Genomic DNA, 18,443 nt, shown 5'->3' with positions numbered 1-18,443 from the left:
GTATTCAAGTAATCCACCTTTCTCTATTTACCTCTCTATAAAAAAACTTAGTAAACCATGTTCATAATTTTTTTGAGATTCATGATTTCATGTCTTTTTATTTTATTTTGAAGTCATTTATAGAATTTCTAAGGTTTTATCCTTTCAATAGATCTTATCCATGATAAAAATGTCTCATTTTTACACAAGTAGATAGTATATGAGTTTTTTATGTTTATTCATATATAAATACCAACAAATTATCATTCCCTGTGAAAAGAACAGAAAAGACAGTAAACCAGTACATTATCCAAGGGTTTGACTTCCCAGCTTTATCAATCATTCACTTTGTGAAAATTCCTGAACTCTCTGAGCCTTTTTTGTCAGTAAGTTGGGATAATAAGGACAATAATAACACATAATTAAGAGGTTTGCTATATATATATATTCTTTAACATAGTGTCTGGAATAATAGCTCAATATATGTACACTATTTCAGTACTTTGTCAGTTAAAGAGCTGTTTATATTTCTTCAAGAAAAAGTCTAGCAAAATCAGAAAATGAATGAAGGCTCCAAAAGCATAATTGTACTCTTTAATAACAGTGGTCCCATCACAGCAGATTGGGAGATTTGTACTTTGTCAGCACTCAGCACATATTAAGGAAACAATCAATCAAGACATTATTACAACACAGCAATCCGTAATCCATTATTCATTTCTGAAATACTAGTTGTAAGGCAAAGGTTGGAGCTGATTACTCATCTTATGTTATCATTTTGTAGTGAATGAGAGAAATGACATCTTTCTCATGGACCAAATTCACATTATTGTTAAATACAATAGAATCACAAGGACATGATCCAAGGGCACAGACAAGTCATCTTCCCATTAGCATTGGTAGCACAATGCCAAACCCACTTTTACACCTTTTATAATTTCCTCATACTTCGTTACTTATGAAGTACAAGAAAGGGGAATTTAGTGTTACCTAAATTTTCAAACTCTGTGTTTAGATTTCCATTTAGAAAGGAATGCATTCAGGTCTTGTTATATGCAATAGTTATGTTCTATAAAGTCACCTCAAGCACTTTATTTGTGAATTCTGAAACGCTGCTCCTAGGGGAGATAAAGATTTGGGTTCCTGGAAAACTCTGATTACATTTCCATATATCAATCAATACAGACCCTTGTTTTATATACGTTTCTGTTTAAAGACACCTTATTTCACACATACTGTTGATTCGTTAACGTTGAACTCCTGGCCAACAACAATATAACTCGTTCCTGAATAAAGCTTATCTAACACATTTCCTCTGTAAAGCATATCACAGAGTTTTTGTGCTTAGGAACATTAAACAGCACTTCAGCACCATGTTTGGGGTCTATTTCAAATGGCAAAATCACCAACAAAAGCAAAAACATACAAAAAAAAAAGTGGCACTAAATAGACATTAAAAAAGACACTTGGTTACAATATGAGAGCTGAAACAGCATTGCCTTGTTCAACCTCAGCTGGGAACATGTGCATCCGTGACTCAAATTTTTCAGAGCTCTACATGTCTGTGAATAACTGCAAAAATGTTGTGAATATTGATTTGTGCATTACAAATTTTAGCAAGTATATACATTCACGAATATAGAATCCATGAATAATGAAGATTCTTTATTCAGAACCATTTAGGAGAGCAATGGTACAAAGATGATTTTATAATAAAAAATAATAACGAAAGCATTTATTGAAGAAATGTCAGGTCAGGGACTTTATATTCATTTAGCAGCCATGACTATACTGCTGTTTTACAGACAAAGAAAAGTAAAGGCTTAAAGAAATAAAACTAAGGTCATACAACTACAAGTGGACTAGACAGTGTTGGAACCAATGTCTGCTCAAGTTCAAAGCTTCAACCACTATGCTATACTTCTCATTATAAGCAGTACAATACTCAATTATTCACAAAAGAGCAATACTAGTAGCTAAAAGAACAGCATTTTACATTTTAGTGCTTCTTTGATTTTTGAATCTCATGTTCAAAGCTTTACCTCACATCTTTGACTATGCTATTGAAATGTAAAATAATATTTTCCTCTTTGTATATTTTGTGAGGCTATATTTTTCTCCAATTTACATCATTTAAATATTTTCATAGTTTTCTCAATGTATATTCCCATTAAAAATGATTCATAGCTGGGTGTGGTGGCATGTGCTTTTAGTCCCAGCTAATCAGCATGCTGAGGCATGTTGATTGCTTGAGCCCAGGAGTTCAAGTCCAGTCTGGGTGATATAGCAAGACCCTGTCTCCTGAAAAAAAAAAAGGAAATGATTTATGAATCAGTCATTATCCCAAGGTTTATTTGTAAGTGAGTCTTTTGGAAATTTTCTATATAAACACAGCAGGTAGTGTCCTAAACCAGCCCCTCTAAGCCCATTTATCTCATAGTGAAACTACACTGGAAAAAGAACACCAATAGCACTTTTGGAACCACCTTCTACAACAATGTTTCCTTGAGAAAACACAGTTCCTAGTTGAAAGGCTAAAAATATATATCCCTAGTGCAATTGATTAGGAACTCACATTCATTTGATGAATGACAGGTATGGAGACTCCTCCAGATCAAAGGCATTGCTGGAGGTCTGAGAAAGGAAATGGATGGGACTCCAGAAGCTTTGGGGCAGGAGAGTGTGAAAAGAAGGAAACACTGAGATCTGAAATTTGGAAAGAGTGAAGTAGCTGAGAGTAAGGAATGGAGACCAGAAAGATTCCTAGTCATTTTAGCACTCTTTAGATCCTCTTAGAATCAGCTACTACTTAACTGGTATATTTTATCATTATTATTATTATTATTATTATTATTATTGCTACTATTCAGATTTTGACTGGTAAACTAACTTTTTTTATAACCACCATTTGTTGTTTTTGACTATTTCTGTACTATACTGGAGAAAATAATTCTACAGATTTTAAAATTATAATTTATATTCTTATCTCTAATGTTCAGATTACATCAATAATTAGAGTATTTAGTGCTGTTAATGAAAAGAAACAAGCTTCTCAAGTAATTTCTTACTATTTCTCTTCTTCTCTTTTTTCCTTCTGCGTTTGCTGTGTCTCAAATTTCAGTGTAAATAAAAATCACCTAAGGACTCTATTGTTAAAAAAAAATGTATAGATATGTGGATGTCACCTCCTGATAGTCTAATCAAGTAGATTTGCTATGGAGTTCAGGAATCTGTATTTGTAACCTGTATCCCAGGTATTTGGCATAGAGATTACATGGTACACCGTCTACTTGAGTCATGCGACTTAGAGCATAAAAGAAAATGAAGTTCATACATGAATGTTACCAAAGAAACTTTACTTACAAATATGCCAAAGTAAATGCAATCAGCATTTCAGAGAGGCCAGGAACAAGTTCTATAAAATATCTGATCACCTTATTAGGAAGATGAAGTTGGTAAGAAGGGTGTCACTTTGGGGGAAGGGGTGTTGTGAATTTGGCCTTGGAGAAGTTATTCCTCTCAGTCTCAGTTCTCAAGAGGAAAATGAGAGATTATACATATGTATCTTTCCTGTTCACACCTTCTCTTTTTCTCTTTTAACTGGTAATTAGGTCATTAAATGTTTTACCTTTATAGGGTTTAAGTAGAATAGGAAGAGAGAAACTAAGATCAGAGAAGGATGATTAACAATGCTTACATCAACAGATTGAGAGGGAAAATGATTAATGAGTCTTTGTCTAACAGATAACATAGCTGAATGACACTTTCTAGGAAGATGTCCCTCTGTTAGTGAGTGGGCAACATTATCATTATCATCACTGTCATCATCATCATCATCAATATTATAATAGTTATCAGCATATAGAGCTACTATGGATTGAGGATTAAGGCCTACTATTACTACCTTGTAGAATGATATGTTGAAGTCTTGACCCCCAGTGTGACTATTTGGAGATAGGGCCTTTATTGCAGTAATTAAGGTTAAATGAGGTTATAAGGGTAGAGCCATGAACTGATAGAATTAAAGTCCCTATAAGAAGAAGAAGAGAGACCAGAGCTCTCTCTTCATACCCACAATCAGAGGAAAGGCCATATGAAGACATAGGGAAAAGACAGCTGCATATGCAAGGTAGGAAGGGAAACTTTACCAGAAACCAGATTGGCTGACACCTTGATATTGGACTTCCCAGCCTCTAGAGCTGTGAGAATTAAATTTCTGTTTTTTAAGCCACCTAGTCCACAGTATTTTGTCAAGTTTCTTAGCAGACCAAGAAAAGAGTTTTAACATATTCTCATTTTGTTGTGCTATAAATTCTAAGACAAATTAGTATAAGCCATTGGTTGTCAAAGAACCCAAGTCTACAGTAAGTTATTAAAAGTAATGGCAAAATCCGCAATAACTTTTGCACCAACCTAATAACTTGCTCAAGGTCACAGAGTCAATAAAATGAGTGTGTGTGTGTGTGTGTGTGTGTGTGTGTGTGAGGGTGATGCGGGTGGGTGTTACATAGAACTCAGGCAGTTTAACTTCAGAATCTAAACTCCTAGAGATGAAACAATACATACTTCTCATAGATGTGTGTAATTTAACTCTTAAATTTTTAGTATGGACATACAATTTAAAGATTTTACTTTTAAAAATCACTGTTCATTTTAAGTTATTTTTTTTTGAGAAGTTTTGCAATTCATCATTGTATAAACCTACTGTTACATGTTGAATAGGCCCTTTATCAATAAATTTATTTGTATTTCTGTTTTAAAGAGCTTGTGAATCTTTATAATACAGACGAGAATTTTGCAATTCAGTCAGAGGAGATTATTTTTCTCTAATAGGTTGAAATATTTCTAGATACTAACGCTTTTGTTGCAGAATTCAAAGGAAAATTGTCTAAGGGCAGCATGTATTTTAGAAGAGTTTCTCACATGCTTTCCTGTCTTTTGTTATACTTTATATTTTCAAGTTCTTTGAAAGTAGGTACATTGCCTCATATTCAAAAGGCGTTAGAAGAACCTAAACTAGATTTCTATTGGTTTAATTCAACATTTCTTTGAAAATATGTAAGTTGTCAGAGGCAGAATTTCCTCAAGGAGGTCCGAAATTTCAGTTCAGAAAAGACTAGCTTGTCTGTAAGTACACTATTTCAAAGCATTTAACACTGTGATATAACTTGAGAAGAACAGGAGACTCCATGTAAGATATCTGAAAGATCAGCTGGGCGTATTTTCAAACAGAAATATTTCCTACAAAGATTGATTCCTTTGTTTGAACTAAAACTTTTTAATGCTTCAGCTCAATGTACAGTCATGTCAGAATTTGCAGTCATTGCAAATGGAAAATAACAAATATGAGGGGGATAATCACTGGAATATATTTTCACATCAAGGGAAGAAATCATTTTTGTTATCATCTTTAAGTGAAACTTCAATAGATTTTAAATTTATCAGATAACTTTCTGAACAAAGGAAATGATAACCATGCCTTGTTGTTTAATGTCTTTTCCTATTATGTTGCTAATTTAACTTACATTTTTTTTTTTTCTGTTTTTTTGAGACAGAGTTTCACTCTTGTTGCCCAGGCTGGAGTGCAGTGGCACAATCTTAGGTCACTGCAAACTCCGCCTCCTAGGTTCCTCCTGCCTCAGCCTCCTGAGTAGATGGGATTACAGGTGCCTGCCACCATGCCCAGCTAGTTTCTGCATTTTTAGTAGAGATGGGGCTTCGCCATATTGGCCAGGCTGGTCTTGAACTCCTGACCTCAGGTGATCCGCCTGCCTCAGTCTCCCAAAATGCTGGCATTACAGGCGTGAGCCACCATGACTGGCCAATTGAACTTACTTTCTGATAGTTGTACCTTACCATCAAAATAATATGTTTCTCTAGTGGTGTCACTTTAGTGTTCTTAAGCAATCAGTCAAGATTTCTGCACCTCCTTTTTAGTGGCACAAAATTATTGTTGTAATATTATAATACAACAATAATTGTATTATTATAACAATAATTTTGTGCCACTAAAAAGGAAATTGGTAAGTGGAAAATTGCAAGAACAACTATCTACTTCTCCCCCAGGATATTAAGTGGCCGCTAGGGACTGACCTTTCCTTCCCTGTAGAGTGATGCATACTGAAGAACAGCTGTGCCCAGGCATCTATGCAGCCTGACCTGACATTCCCTGTATGCTAATGTGCCAGCACCAAGGTCAGTCATCGTTCTCAGCAATGTCTGTTTCTGGTAGCTCTTCTTGAAGACTTACGGGTGATAAAAGCAGCGTCTATTGGTAGCTCCTTATATTACCAGAGACTTCTTCCAATCTCATTTCTCATTGGCACTGAGTCTGAATCACAATTACACACCTCTGATTTCTGCTCCTTTGCCTTCTTCAAATGACTTAATCACACATTCTTCCCTGAGGCTGGATGTTAGATTTACTGATTCTCCTAGATTTCATTACCTTAAAGCGGCACAGTTCTCCCATCCCACTCATGCCTTAAAGGCATTCCCAGGTAAGATTTGCAATCTCTCTCTCTCTCTCTCTCTCTCTCTCTATATATATATATATATATATATATATATATACCTACCTATGATTGTCATAGATGTCATATATTGTCATATATAGTCATATATAGTCATATATTTTCATATATATATGGTATCATCCTTGAATGTCTTATCACATGGGATCCCATAGGACACCTGGGTAGATACAAACCTGATAATTCATCAAATTCATTGTACCCTGAAGAAGAATGTATTGCAACCTATAATTTAACAAAACCACATGCATTGCCAAATTAAGTATTCTTTCTGGTTTAACAGAACAGATGAATGTCACTGGATTTTGCACCTTAATAGTAGTGGTTATAGTAATATTGGTCAAATGACCATATATCATCAATATATTACCATGGAAGAAAAATTAAGCAATAGAAATCTTTGGATACCCAATTATTATGACTTGAATAGATGATAAAAGTTGCTACAAAGGAATCATATTCTAAAACGCTAATTTATTAGAACTGTTAACTTAAAGGAGATCACACAGAATATTTGGTAGTGAAGTTACTGTATGCTCTTTATAACCAATGAAAACATATTTTGGCTCCTCTATTTTTTTTTTTTTTTTTTTTTTTTTGAGACGGAGTCTCGCTGTGTCACCCAGGCTGGAGTGCGGTGGTGCGATCTCGGCTCACTGCAAGCTCCGCCTCCGGGGTTCACGCCATTCTCCTGCCTCAGCCTCCCGTGTAGCTGGGACTACAGTTGCCCGCCACCCTGCCCGGCTAATTTTTTGTATTTTTAATAGAGACGGGGTTTCACCGTGTTAGCCAGGATGGTCTCGCTCTCATGACCTCGTGATCCGCCCGCCTCAGCCTCCCAGAGTGCTGGGATTACAGGTGTAAGCCACCGCGCCCGGCCGATTTTGGCTCCTCTTATACATTCTAGAAATCATATTCCCAGAGTATGTGGTGTTATCTAAACTGCATACTGATGATAAGATTTGGGTTGTAGAGTGCTATTTATATTTAGCCATTAGTGACAGAGTGTGGATATTTATTAATACTCCCACATTAAACCAATTAAATTATACTACTCAGGATCTGCTGTTAATGCTTTTTAAGCGTAAATGTTTGATTGATTAAGTTCTAACAAACAATTAAAATGACTTTTTTATCTTTTGGTAATGTAAGAAAACAATAAAATGTGAATGGCCACTTGAATATAATCTTGTCTGGTTTTAGCAAAAGCAGAGGTGAAAAATGTAATTGTAGAGTTTAAAAAGTATGTTAGTTATTTCTAAATTGTAAATGTCCCATAATTATATATATAGCTTATTTTTATTAAGCTTAATACTTTTAATATTCTCTTCTAATATAGCAAAATAGGAGGGGAAATCATTCTTTTAAGTAAAAGCAATACATCTTTTATTCAAATATTACTTGCTTTTTAGGCATGGATATAGGAGATACGCTGAAATACAGGAGATTGGTGTTTCTTATAAGCCATGGGTAATAAGAAATCAGAGATAGTGGAAGAATCAAACTAAAAACATAAACACACATACACAAATACACAAATAATCATAATGGCTCCTCTTATAAAAGATTTCCCTTTCTGGAGATTCAGTTACCCATGGTCAACCACCATTTGAATATATTGTATGGAAAATTTTGGAAATAAACAATAACTTTTACGTTGCCGCCTCTGAGTAGCGTGATGAAATCTCACACTGTCCTGCTCCATCCCATGTGGCCTGTGCATCTTCTGTCTCTGGGCTCTATATGCTGCCTGCTCGTTAGTCACTTAGTAGAAGATTGACCTGCAGTATTGCAATGATTGTGTTCAAGTAACTTTTATTTTACTGAATAATGGCCCCCAAAGCTCATGAGTAGTGATGCTGGCACTTCAGATATGTCGAAAAGACGTCATAAAATGCTTCCTTTTAAGTTAATAGGTGAAAGCTCTGGAATTAACAAGGAAAAAAATAGTATGCTGAGATTGCTAAGATCTGTAAGAATGAATCTTCTATTTGTGAAATTGTTGAACTGTATGTTGTTAGAATTTTCTATTTTATTATTAGTTATTGTCATTAATCTCTTACTGTGCCTAACTTATAAACTTTATTATGTATGTATGTACAGGAGAAAAAACCCCTGCAGTTTCAGGCACCCACTAGGGATCTTAGAACACATCCCCCTCATAAGGGGGGATATTCAGTTTAAATACATACAAATAGAAATGTATTTTATAAAAACTTGTTGGTGTGAAATAGCAAATGTCTTACTTTAAAATGGCTTATAATCACAGTAAAAAGGAAAACAACCTATTATGGAATCAATTTTATTAAAGAAACAACTTGAATGCTTTACATGAATATTTAGGTGTATGAAAATGATTTTAAATCAATCTTTTTGGTGACAACATTAATGCAAATCTTTTCTAAAAGAGAGGTTACTTAATAGGTTTAGTGTATTCAACTTAGAAGATGTGTTATTTAGACATATTTTTATTTTGTGTGTCTAGTTTCTAATATTTATTTATTTACCTGATCAGAAAAATGGGGGAAATCATTCATTTGAATTTTGAAATCAGCTTTTAATAAGTTATCTTATTTATCAGGAAAAACTGGATTTAGTGATATACTCTGTGTGTGTTTGTGTGTGTGTGTGTGTGTGTGTGTATTATGAGAAAGGGAGAGAGATTGATAGAATGCCCAGAGGAAGATTTTGTTCTCTTTCATAGCAAGTTTTACTATTACAGCCTTTGCATAGAAAATCAAGGAAAAGAAAATATACTTTAAAAATTGTTGATAATTTTGCTCAGTGTTTAAAAAACTTTCTTAGTCATAGGCATATGTTTTTCAGAGATGGATATTCACCTGATACAAAGGGACTCTAGCTTAATACAGTGAATAATAATTTTATTTCTGGCAAGAAGTGAACGAGAAGGAAAGCGAAGATAAAATATAAAGCAAGAGAAAAATAAAGAAAAAGGAATGTAATAACTCTCACAAGACAAACAATATGAATCATATTCCTAAAAATACAGTTTTTAAAAATATGAAAGAAATATTTACATTATTTTAGGTGATTTAATTGTTTTCCACTTCTAGTATTTTAGGTGGCTAAAAAAACATCTGGTCAACATGTTGGTAGTGAAAAAAGGCATTCATATATTCTATCAGTCAGCGAGATTGAAATCTGCTTATTAACAAAATATGTTAACTAATTTTTATTGACATTTGAGATTTCCTTGCATATTTAGACAAAACAAAATTTGGTTTTGCTATTGAAAAGGTATTACGTGTTTAGTAATTTTTTTCCAAGTTCTTTACAAATCATTTTCTAAATATATACCAGTATCCTGTATTTAGCTCCCAGAAAGCTTTAATTCACTGCTTGTATATAAGCTGTTTTTTTTTTTTTTTTGGTCTTTTTTTCCCCCTGCATTATCTATGTGTGTTTACATCCTGGATTGTAATGGCCTCAGTAGAAATGTTATGGCCCATCTTGTTGATAATCCATATTTTAAACTCTCTAAATACATGGATGACATTATCAGCTATCATTGTACTGATCCCCACTTGAAGTATGTAAATACATATTTACCAGCTTAATCTGTGTCTTGAAAGGCCCATATGTGTGTGTTTATATGATAAAGTATATTTATGCATGTTGTAACTATTTATTATTAGTAGTAGTATTAAAATAATACACAAAGCTATAAGTTACATTTAACTATGAGGGACACATTGAGTTTGAGAACTTAACATTTTCCTTTTTGGGGAATTGTTCCACAACCTATGGCAAAAGTATTGATGGCAGTGGCGGCCCATATGGAGCAGCCACTGCCGTGATGCCAGCTGCAGTGAGGGAGGTGCAGTTGGCACTGTGTCCTCCACGGAGCAAGCAGGAGCACTGCCCTCCTAGGTGCAGCGGCTGCTGCCCAAGCTAGCGCTGTGGATCCAGGCATCCCTGTGCACTTGGGGGCCGGGAGCAGGCAGGATCCCTGACTTCCCAGTCGCAGCTATAGCCACCCAACCCATGGCTGTGGACCCAGGCATCTCTTCACTCTTGGGGACCCAGGAAGCCTCCCTGCCCACACGGGCTCAGAAATGCCTGGTCCTGCTGCTTAGCCTCTCCCTGCTTCCCGCGCCAGATCTCAAAGCAAAGGTGAGGCTGATCCAGGGCGCTGTCACAACCTGGCCAGGTGAACACACGCTCACGGCAGCGCTGAGATGCCAGCTCCCTGCTGCCTCAGCCCCCTCTGGACTTTGGGCACCGATGAGCATGGGAGGGAGGCTGAAGTGGGGCTGAGGGCAGCTTGGCACTGGCCTACAGCTGCCCCTTAGCATAAGCCTGGGCACTATGAACAGCGGTCGGAGGCAGACAGGTTCCTGGGCAGAAAGGGGCAGGTCCCTCGTGAAGCCCCACCTTCAAGCCAGGGCGGCTTGAAGGCTGGGGGCCTGGCTGCAGACTGGAGTGAGAACTTATGGCTCTTTTTTCAGGCCCACCCATGGCTGCCTATGGACGAGTCAGCATACACTTTTCCCCTCTGAAACCCGTAAAAAACCCAGACTCATCCAGACAAGCAAAACTCAGGCAAAGGCACCAGTGGCCATAGAGTTTTCTGGCTGGTGAAGCAACACCCCAAGTTTCCCTAAACAATATGCTCGTGGCTTTTGGGCTTTCTTTTAACATTTTATTTTCTTTGCCCTAGAGAGTATGAACGTGCTACCTAAGATTCTATAAGAATATGAGAAGTGCTTTTTGGATTTTATTTTTCTTTTTTGGACTAAATTACTTCAAAAACATGGACATGTGGCAGGATGAGGTAACTTCTCTAATAACCAAAACAACCATTGCATGAAATATAAGTTTTAGACATTCTCCACTTTACAAAGAATTCTTACAGGCTGGATACTCATGGTTACCGTGCTACTTAGGTTATGTCAATTTTAGGGACTTTTTTTTTTTTTTTGAGACAGAGTCTCGCCCTGTCACCCTGGCTAGAGTGCAGTGGCACGATCTCGGCTCACTGCAACCTCCACCTCCCAGGTTCAAATGATTCTCCTGCCTCACACTCCTGAGTAGCTGGGATTGCAGGCACCCCCCACCATGCCCAGCTATTTTTTGTGTTTTTAGTAGAGACAGGATTTCACCATGTTGGCCTGGTTGGTCTTGAACTCCTGACCTCGGGATCCACTCGCCTCGGCTTCCCAAAGTGCTGAGATTACAGGAGTAAGCCACTGTGCCTGGCCAATTTTAGGGACTTTCATGCCGTTTGTAGTGTTTGGGAGTATATTCTTGTCTTATTTCTCTGAAATTTTATCCACTGATTCATGCTAGAAACTAATCTTTTTTATGGTGTTGAATATGAAGAATTTGGAAAATAAAATCAAATACAGGATTAAATCGTAATTTGAATATTTGTAGGGTTTCCTCTCTAAATTAACTAGATTGAGAACTGAACTCAATCACAGATTTTCCACACACTACTCACTCCCCATTTTTCATTTTGTCAGTAGTTGCTCAGATATTCTTGAAAAAAAAATGTATTAGAAAGTGAAGTATTGCTACATTTTAGAGTCAGGTCTACTCGTTCCATCATGCATTGGACACCACAGAAGTAAGTTTGGTAATTTAAGCCCTGAATGCACTTACATACATGATATCACCCCAAAAGGGCATTTATAAGGACACTTGTTGACTTGTAGTTTGGATACATTCATTTCAGAGCCAAACACTGTCACCAGCAGGTACCATCTCTTAACCTCATTCCTCTGGGTTGTTCCTTTGAAAGACTTTGCTATGGGGCCCCAGAAGTAGGCCCAGCTCATATGTTCTCAGCATGCAGTCTTCTCCAGAGTGTACACATTAGCTGTGATATTCACCCCATCTCCCTATGAAAATGAGCCACAAGGCCATCCCTGAACAAATATTAGTGTCTGTGAGGACAGAAGGTGCTGTTTCTAATGGGCCTTGCTTGTCCTTGGCCTCAGATTCAGAGACTGAAGGTGAAGACGTTTGTCCGGAGCAAATTTGGACACTGTTACTAGAATAAATGAAGTGGATTCCAGTCTGAAGGCAACAGCAAATATTCAATACATGTGGCCTTTGTATTTTAATTTTAATAAGTTTAGACTGTGTTCACCAGAGCATTTTATAACGTGTGTGTAATTGCATGTATATGTGTGTGTGTGTGTGTGTATGTATGTGCATGTGTGTAGCTGAATACTTCTTTAATAGACCTAGTCTTCTAGAAAAGTTTTAACTAGTAAAGGCAGATATTTTTGTTGGTGATGTTGGGAGGTTTACAATATTTGGGCTTTTCCATCTGTCTCTGTCTACATGTAAAATACAACCACTTAAATCTCAAAGCAGGGAATACAGTAGCACCCCTTCTTAATGAATGTTCAGTCAGAATTATCTTTGCTGAGGGCACACACCTGTGTGTAGCTGGCATCTCAAACCTGGGTCTACCTGAAGTTCACTGCCGATAGTAATTGATTTTCTTCCTTCAGTCAGCTTAACATAGATCAAGAGTGAAGTGGCACTTGGCTACACACACAATCTCAGCAGCTGCAATTTTGCTGTTGCCTGTCATACAGAGCCCTTCTTTCGTGGTTTCCATAGAGGCTGGGCATGTTTCTGAATTTAATTTTGAAACACTGCCTGATTCCTTCCTATATATCTGAGTTAGAGAGACATCTCACACTACCAGATCTGAAAAGAAAATCACTCCCTTCACCCTCATCCAATTCATTACTTTCCCTCTTCATTAGTGCTTGGAATAGTTTTATAATATTGAATTCCCATTACCCAAAACAGGAGATGATATTTTATTCTTATTTTTGAAATCTTAGGATTAACAGTTAATGTCATTACAAAAACACTGATGTATACAAAAATTGATGCTATTTTGTCATTTTATTCACAAATTGGAAGTAATTTTATGCTATTCTAAGTTCAGAAAAGAGATGAAATGTCCCTATTTCTATAATATGAGGAAAATAACACAGAATTTTGGGGGCTAAAAGAGGTCAAATCGTCAATGGGACCCATGCTGGGCTTTTTTGGAAGTCTCATACAAAGCCTAAAAAAAGTTTCAAAGGAAAAGGGCGAGAGAGGAAGAGGGGCCAAGAATTACACTTTTCTGTTCAATGCAGATAGCTTTCAGGAGTGGGATTTGAACCACATTAGAATTAATTTACTATGTATACATAGGGAGAGCAAGTAAGGGAAATAAATTTTCTTTTTCAGTATAATGTTTAAATAAGACTTAGGTCATAGGTAAATTATTTTGTAGCAGATGTTGCCCTCAGACATAAAGGTGACTATATGAGGATTTATTGGATTTCAAAAATGACCATACCATGTATAAGAAAAATTAAGGAAAAACATAATTTTAAATTATGAAGTTAAATGAAGCTACATTTGATGTTAGTAAAGTATCATATTGTGTGCCTAGAGAAGTCTATGCTAATATTCCTATTAAATTCTCTCCTACCTTTTCTGCTCCTAATTTCCCAAGCTAAGAATCCTGGAGTTATGCTAGATTCTCCCTCCCCTCATCCTCACCTCCAGCTGTTCTCTAACATCTGTAATTTCTCCTTTTGGAATGTCATAGTTTTTCTCACATTGTCTTAACTGATCCCATAATCACTTTTACCGGAACTAATGCCATGATTGTATATTTTCCCAAGTACTTTTCTAGTAGGAAAAATAAAGCAATAGAATCATTGTGGGAGGACTCCAGATAAAACTTCACATTTATGTTAAACCCTCCATTTTTCATAGCAGCCATTTTTGAGCTACAAAGTAAACATTAGTGTTTCCATTAACATTTGTCAAAATAATAATTTTTATTATATTTGATATTGTTATGTAAGATATTCACATAGCTCAACAAAAGTGAATCTCCAACAAAAGTGGATGGAATGGGTTATAGATCAGACTTTTCAAATATGGCATCATTTTAAAATTATTATTATTCTTGTTTTCTTTATTGTTATGAAATATGTTGAGTATAAAAATGAAAGAGAAAATTTGCTGTTTAAATTGCTTAACATTTTATAACCTATAGCTAATTCCTAATTATATCCCTTGATCTTAACTATGTGAGAAAAGAATTTATTTTCAATAGCATATTATGCTGTTTTAATTTTCACTGCTTCTAGTTCACTTAGTTAAACATGAAAAACAAGCGTGGGGGGAAATCACATAATTTTCATGGAGTACACATAGTAGTAGAACGATCCCTGATTTTTTCATACATATGTTTGTCAAGAAGACTTTTATATGTGCCTATATTTATGCATTCCTTATTTAGGTGGCTGTAGGCTGTTGTAAAACTCATCGTCATTTTCTTCATTTTTAAATTTTGCTACCTTTTAAAGCTATCTGTCTTTTAATAAATTTGGATATTACAGAAATGCTTAGATTTAATCACATTTATTTTTTGAAAAATAAATTATCCTTAAAAAATAACATACCTTCATGCTACAGTTTTTATTTAAGCTGCTCATGAGGCAACAATTACATGAGAATTCAGAGAGACAAGCCACCGAGGTACCGTTTTCAGTACCCAAATGGCTTCTACAAAACAGAGCATCCAGGGGTATATTTTCTTTTAACTTGACTTCATCTCTCTCTAATTAGTAGTGTGCAATGTACCATTATGATGCCTGCTTCACCCCCTTGGTTCTTGCACCTCCCTTCGGGGATTTCCCAGCTGTTTTGCTCTCCTGTTGTAATTGAAATCTTACTTGTTCCAGCCTATAATTGATAGTGAACCCAACCATTTTATGTTTGTCATGCAACAGATGTACAACAGAAATACTCAATGTAGCATATGGAAAAACTGCCCTACTAGAGTGAAATTAGAGCCATTCCTATAGCACAGCTCCCATTCTCTCAACAGTTTAGGTTTTTGCCTCCTTGCAAGTGCTTTGTTGCTGCACAAGTCAATATAAAATTCTGGTAGTTATTTAGTAGAGAATGTTTTATCTTTAACTTCGTTACATGATTGTATATAGTAAGGGTTACACAGAATAAGATAGATACGTTAAATAAAACAGGGTTCTCTGTATAATTCTCTTGTCAAATTATTTTAAATTATTTTGATTAAATAATTAACCTTACATAAACATATCAATGCCCATGAATAAGTCAAGATGTATTTGAATATTTAACTATATTTTTATTTTCCAAATACTTGCAAATGCAAAAGGAATCTCCAAGTTATCTAATTCTGATTACAACTCTATTCAAGAGCCAGTTTTTGCTTTGAAAAGAAATACTACCTTTCTAATGTAATATAAAAGATCTTTGAGTAGTTGATTCCATATTAGAGGATATATTCAGTATTCAGAAAATGGTGCTAGATTTTTTTTAATATTGTTTAACAGACTTTTGTATGGGTATATTGGGCCCTCAGTGGCTTGACTATTGTGGGAAGAGATGGTGTGAACAGAGCACCACAAGGGCTAAGGGAATTGACCACATCCTAGGAATGGCCAACAACCTGTCCAGGTGGAGTGAGATGCCCAAATGCAGTGTCCATGGCACTAAGATTTTTAGGCAAAAGTCTCATGAAGTCAGATCAAGAAGGCAAAATATGAAAGAAGAATATTTGAATAGTTGTGAATCAGAAAATATGATGAATGGCTACTTCATAGTTCCAACTATTCTTTTCAGTTTTTTTCAGAACCCCAGGCAATCCCTGAGAATGTGAGGACTAGGGTGGCAGTGAAAAATAATTGACAAGTGTTTGGAGGTGGGATAGCACACCAGTCAAGAGCTTTACGATGCACATCAGAACTCTAAGCCCTGGTGGAGACAAGAAGGGCTAATTAGCTAACTCGGGCAGAGGACTGCATGACTGACGGTATCAGAGAGGTATTTTTGAAAAATGATTGATAATATGATAGTAAGTACATCTGAAAATGCAGAAGTGGAGACAGGGAGATGAAGATAAAGCTTGTTAAAATATGCAGGTAAGATACCTGAACTGAAGAAGAAAATGGCAAAGGCCACTGCAAGTACCCATCGCACAGGAAGACGTTTCAGAGGCGTAGCTGGCGTGACTGGCTGCCACACTCCGTGAAGTATGAAGCAAAAACTAGAAAATGACCTAGGTATCTGTAGCCTGACTGACTAGAAATGCTTTGCCATTAGTAAAAGAGGAAAGACACTAGAGAAAAGAAAACGATAGATTTGGGGATACATTTTTTAAAATTGGGACATCATATCTTGGAAATTCTGTTGAGATATCTAGAGACAATGTAAGGTAATTTTTCAGAAGCAAGAAACTGGAGTGCAAGAAAGAGAGATGTCTAGTTGGACCTAAAAAATACAAAGTGATTGTTGCACATTAATAAGTTACATAATATTATATATATATATCTCAGAATATTCTATAAGATGATATTTTTGAACATCAGTATGTTGAAAATTTTATAATATTATTTTTAAAGTTTTTTTAATACTCTGTCTTTTGGAATAAATAATGTTTATACAAAATGTATTAGGAAACTGATTAAAATTTCATTATTATGTTTTTCACTTTACAAAAGCACAGATTGGATAATCATTTGAGGGAGTTAGTTTCTTTGCACTAGTTCAAAATGTATTTGCAGTGCCTTTTTTTGGTTCTGAATTATTTAAATAAGTGACATTATTTTTAAAGTGATCGTTTCTCCCTTTTGAATAAAAGTCTGTTACTAGAGATTAGTGCATCATACATTATAAGCAGAAGAGAGAAATGAGTTGCTCTAAATAATTCTAGTACATCATGTTTTCCTTTTAAATGAAAAAAAGAATAAAGTCACAACACTTATATTTAACTGTGTTTGTAATAAGACATGGCTATAAACTCATACATTTTATTTCGACTGTAATATTAAAATGCAAACATTCACATGGGTTTTTATGTACCAGAGTTTTTCATGCTAGCATGAAAAATTGTGTTAATATTGGTTTAATTTTAATGAAGTAGAACAAAAGCTTGTAAAATATATCAAATACATTTTAGCTATTAATATCAGAGCAGGTTCTCTTTTGAAAACCTGGCTAAATTTAACATTATTCTTAATGGATATATGAATGTGTACAAAGTATTTATTTTATTTATAGACAATTCAGACCTTATTTTTTTCCAAATAACTGCACTGACAATGAATTTTTTTTTTAAAAAAAGAATTGAATATTTTTAAAGATTAAGGGAAATAAAAATACTCCTGCAAATATTAAGTGTAATGTGCATGGTACTACTCAGTTGATTTTGCTGGTCTACATTTCTCAAATGTCTACAGTGTACCCAAAGAGACCTTTCAAGAAGAAAATGGAAATAGCTTTCCAGTTAGACTGTAATGAGTTGTTGAGGTTTGCAGAAGAATAAAGGGGAGAAAAAAATATTATAGAATGAAATATATGTTCTGTAACATGAATACATATTTAGAAACCTGGAAGTCATGGTAAAAAGTACAAAACTGGAAAATTTGATATAGTGGATTAATTTCATTTTAAATTTTTTATGCTTTAATTTTAATTTTTGATGTTAAATTTTTTTCTTTATATTTCAGTGAAAATTTAGTGTTCAATTTCATTTATATCATCTTCTTATTACCATTGCGTTTCCTGGCACTCTTTGATTGAAATGGGAGAGGAAGAAACCCTGTGTTCATTCCCCTGGGTGTGTGTTTGGCAGTTGTGTCCTGAAACTCTATTGCCTGGGGAGTGCTTTTATCTCCTTGAAGCCTATTTGATGAAAATATTACCAATACCTCATAGTTACACAAAGATGACTGGAAAGGTCGTTTTTTAACGAGAAAGTCATTTGGGCATAAAGAATTGAAATATTTTGCACTTTTTCTTAGTAGGAATCAGAGCAGAGCGACATTGGAAATAAGAACAGAAAGAAATGAAAGTTTTCTGTCCCCTACACAGTGTTGTTCTCCTCCTTCCCTT

At 35.4% G+C, this 18,443-nt stretch overlaps 1 protein-coding gene and 1 long non-coding RNA gene across 6 annotated transcripts in view, besides 2 other annotated features; one reads left to right on the top strand and one right to left on the bottom strand.

Moving 5' to 3' along the window:
* The window catches only part of PCDH9 (protocadherin 9), a 927,503-nt gene that overhangs the window by 374,298 nt on the left and 534,762 nt on the right, over positions 1-18,443 (top strand). The gene's annotated exons all lie outside the window — the stretch shown is intronic.
* PCDH9-AS2 (PCDH9 antisense RNA 2) overlaps positions 1-18,443 on the bottom strand; it is an 89,863-nt gene that overhangs the window by 58,993 nt on the left and 12,427 nt on the right. The window lies entirely within an intron of this gene.
* Positions 6,725-7,224: an enhancer, noted in NCBI's record as "H3K4me1 hESC enhancer chr13:67422947-67423446 (GRCh37/hg19 assembly coordinates)". NCBI's record gives its function as "activates a minimal SCP1, AML or CMV promoter by ChIP-STARR-seq in naive and primed H9 embryonic stem cells {active_cell/tissue: H9 hESC(naive and primed)}" and the evidence as "EXISTENCE:reporter gene assay evidence [ECO:0000049][PMID:30033119]".
* Positions 7,225-7,726: an enhancer, noted in NCBI's record as "H3K4me1 hESC enhancer chr13:67422445-67422946 (GRCh37/hg19 assembly coordinates)". NCBI's record gives its function as "activates a minimal SCP1, AML or CMV promoter by ChIP-STARR-seq in naive and primed H9 embryonic stem cells {active_cell/tissue: H9 hESC(naive and primed)}" and the evidence as "EXISTENCE:reporter gene assay evidence [ECO:0000049][PMID:30033119]".

The sequence above is a fragment of the Homo sapiens genome, chromosome 13, assembly GCF_000001405.40.
Source record: "Homo sapiens chromosome 13, GRCh38.p14 Primary Assembly".
Classification (NCBI taxonomy): Eukaryota; Metazoa; Chordata; class Mammalia; order Primates; family Hominidae; genus Homo; species Homo sapiens.
This window is presented reverse-complemented; position numbering and strand designations above follow the sequence as displayed.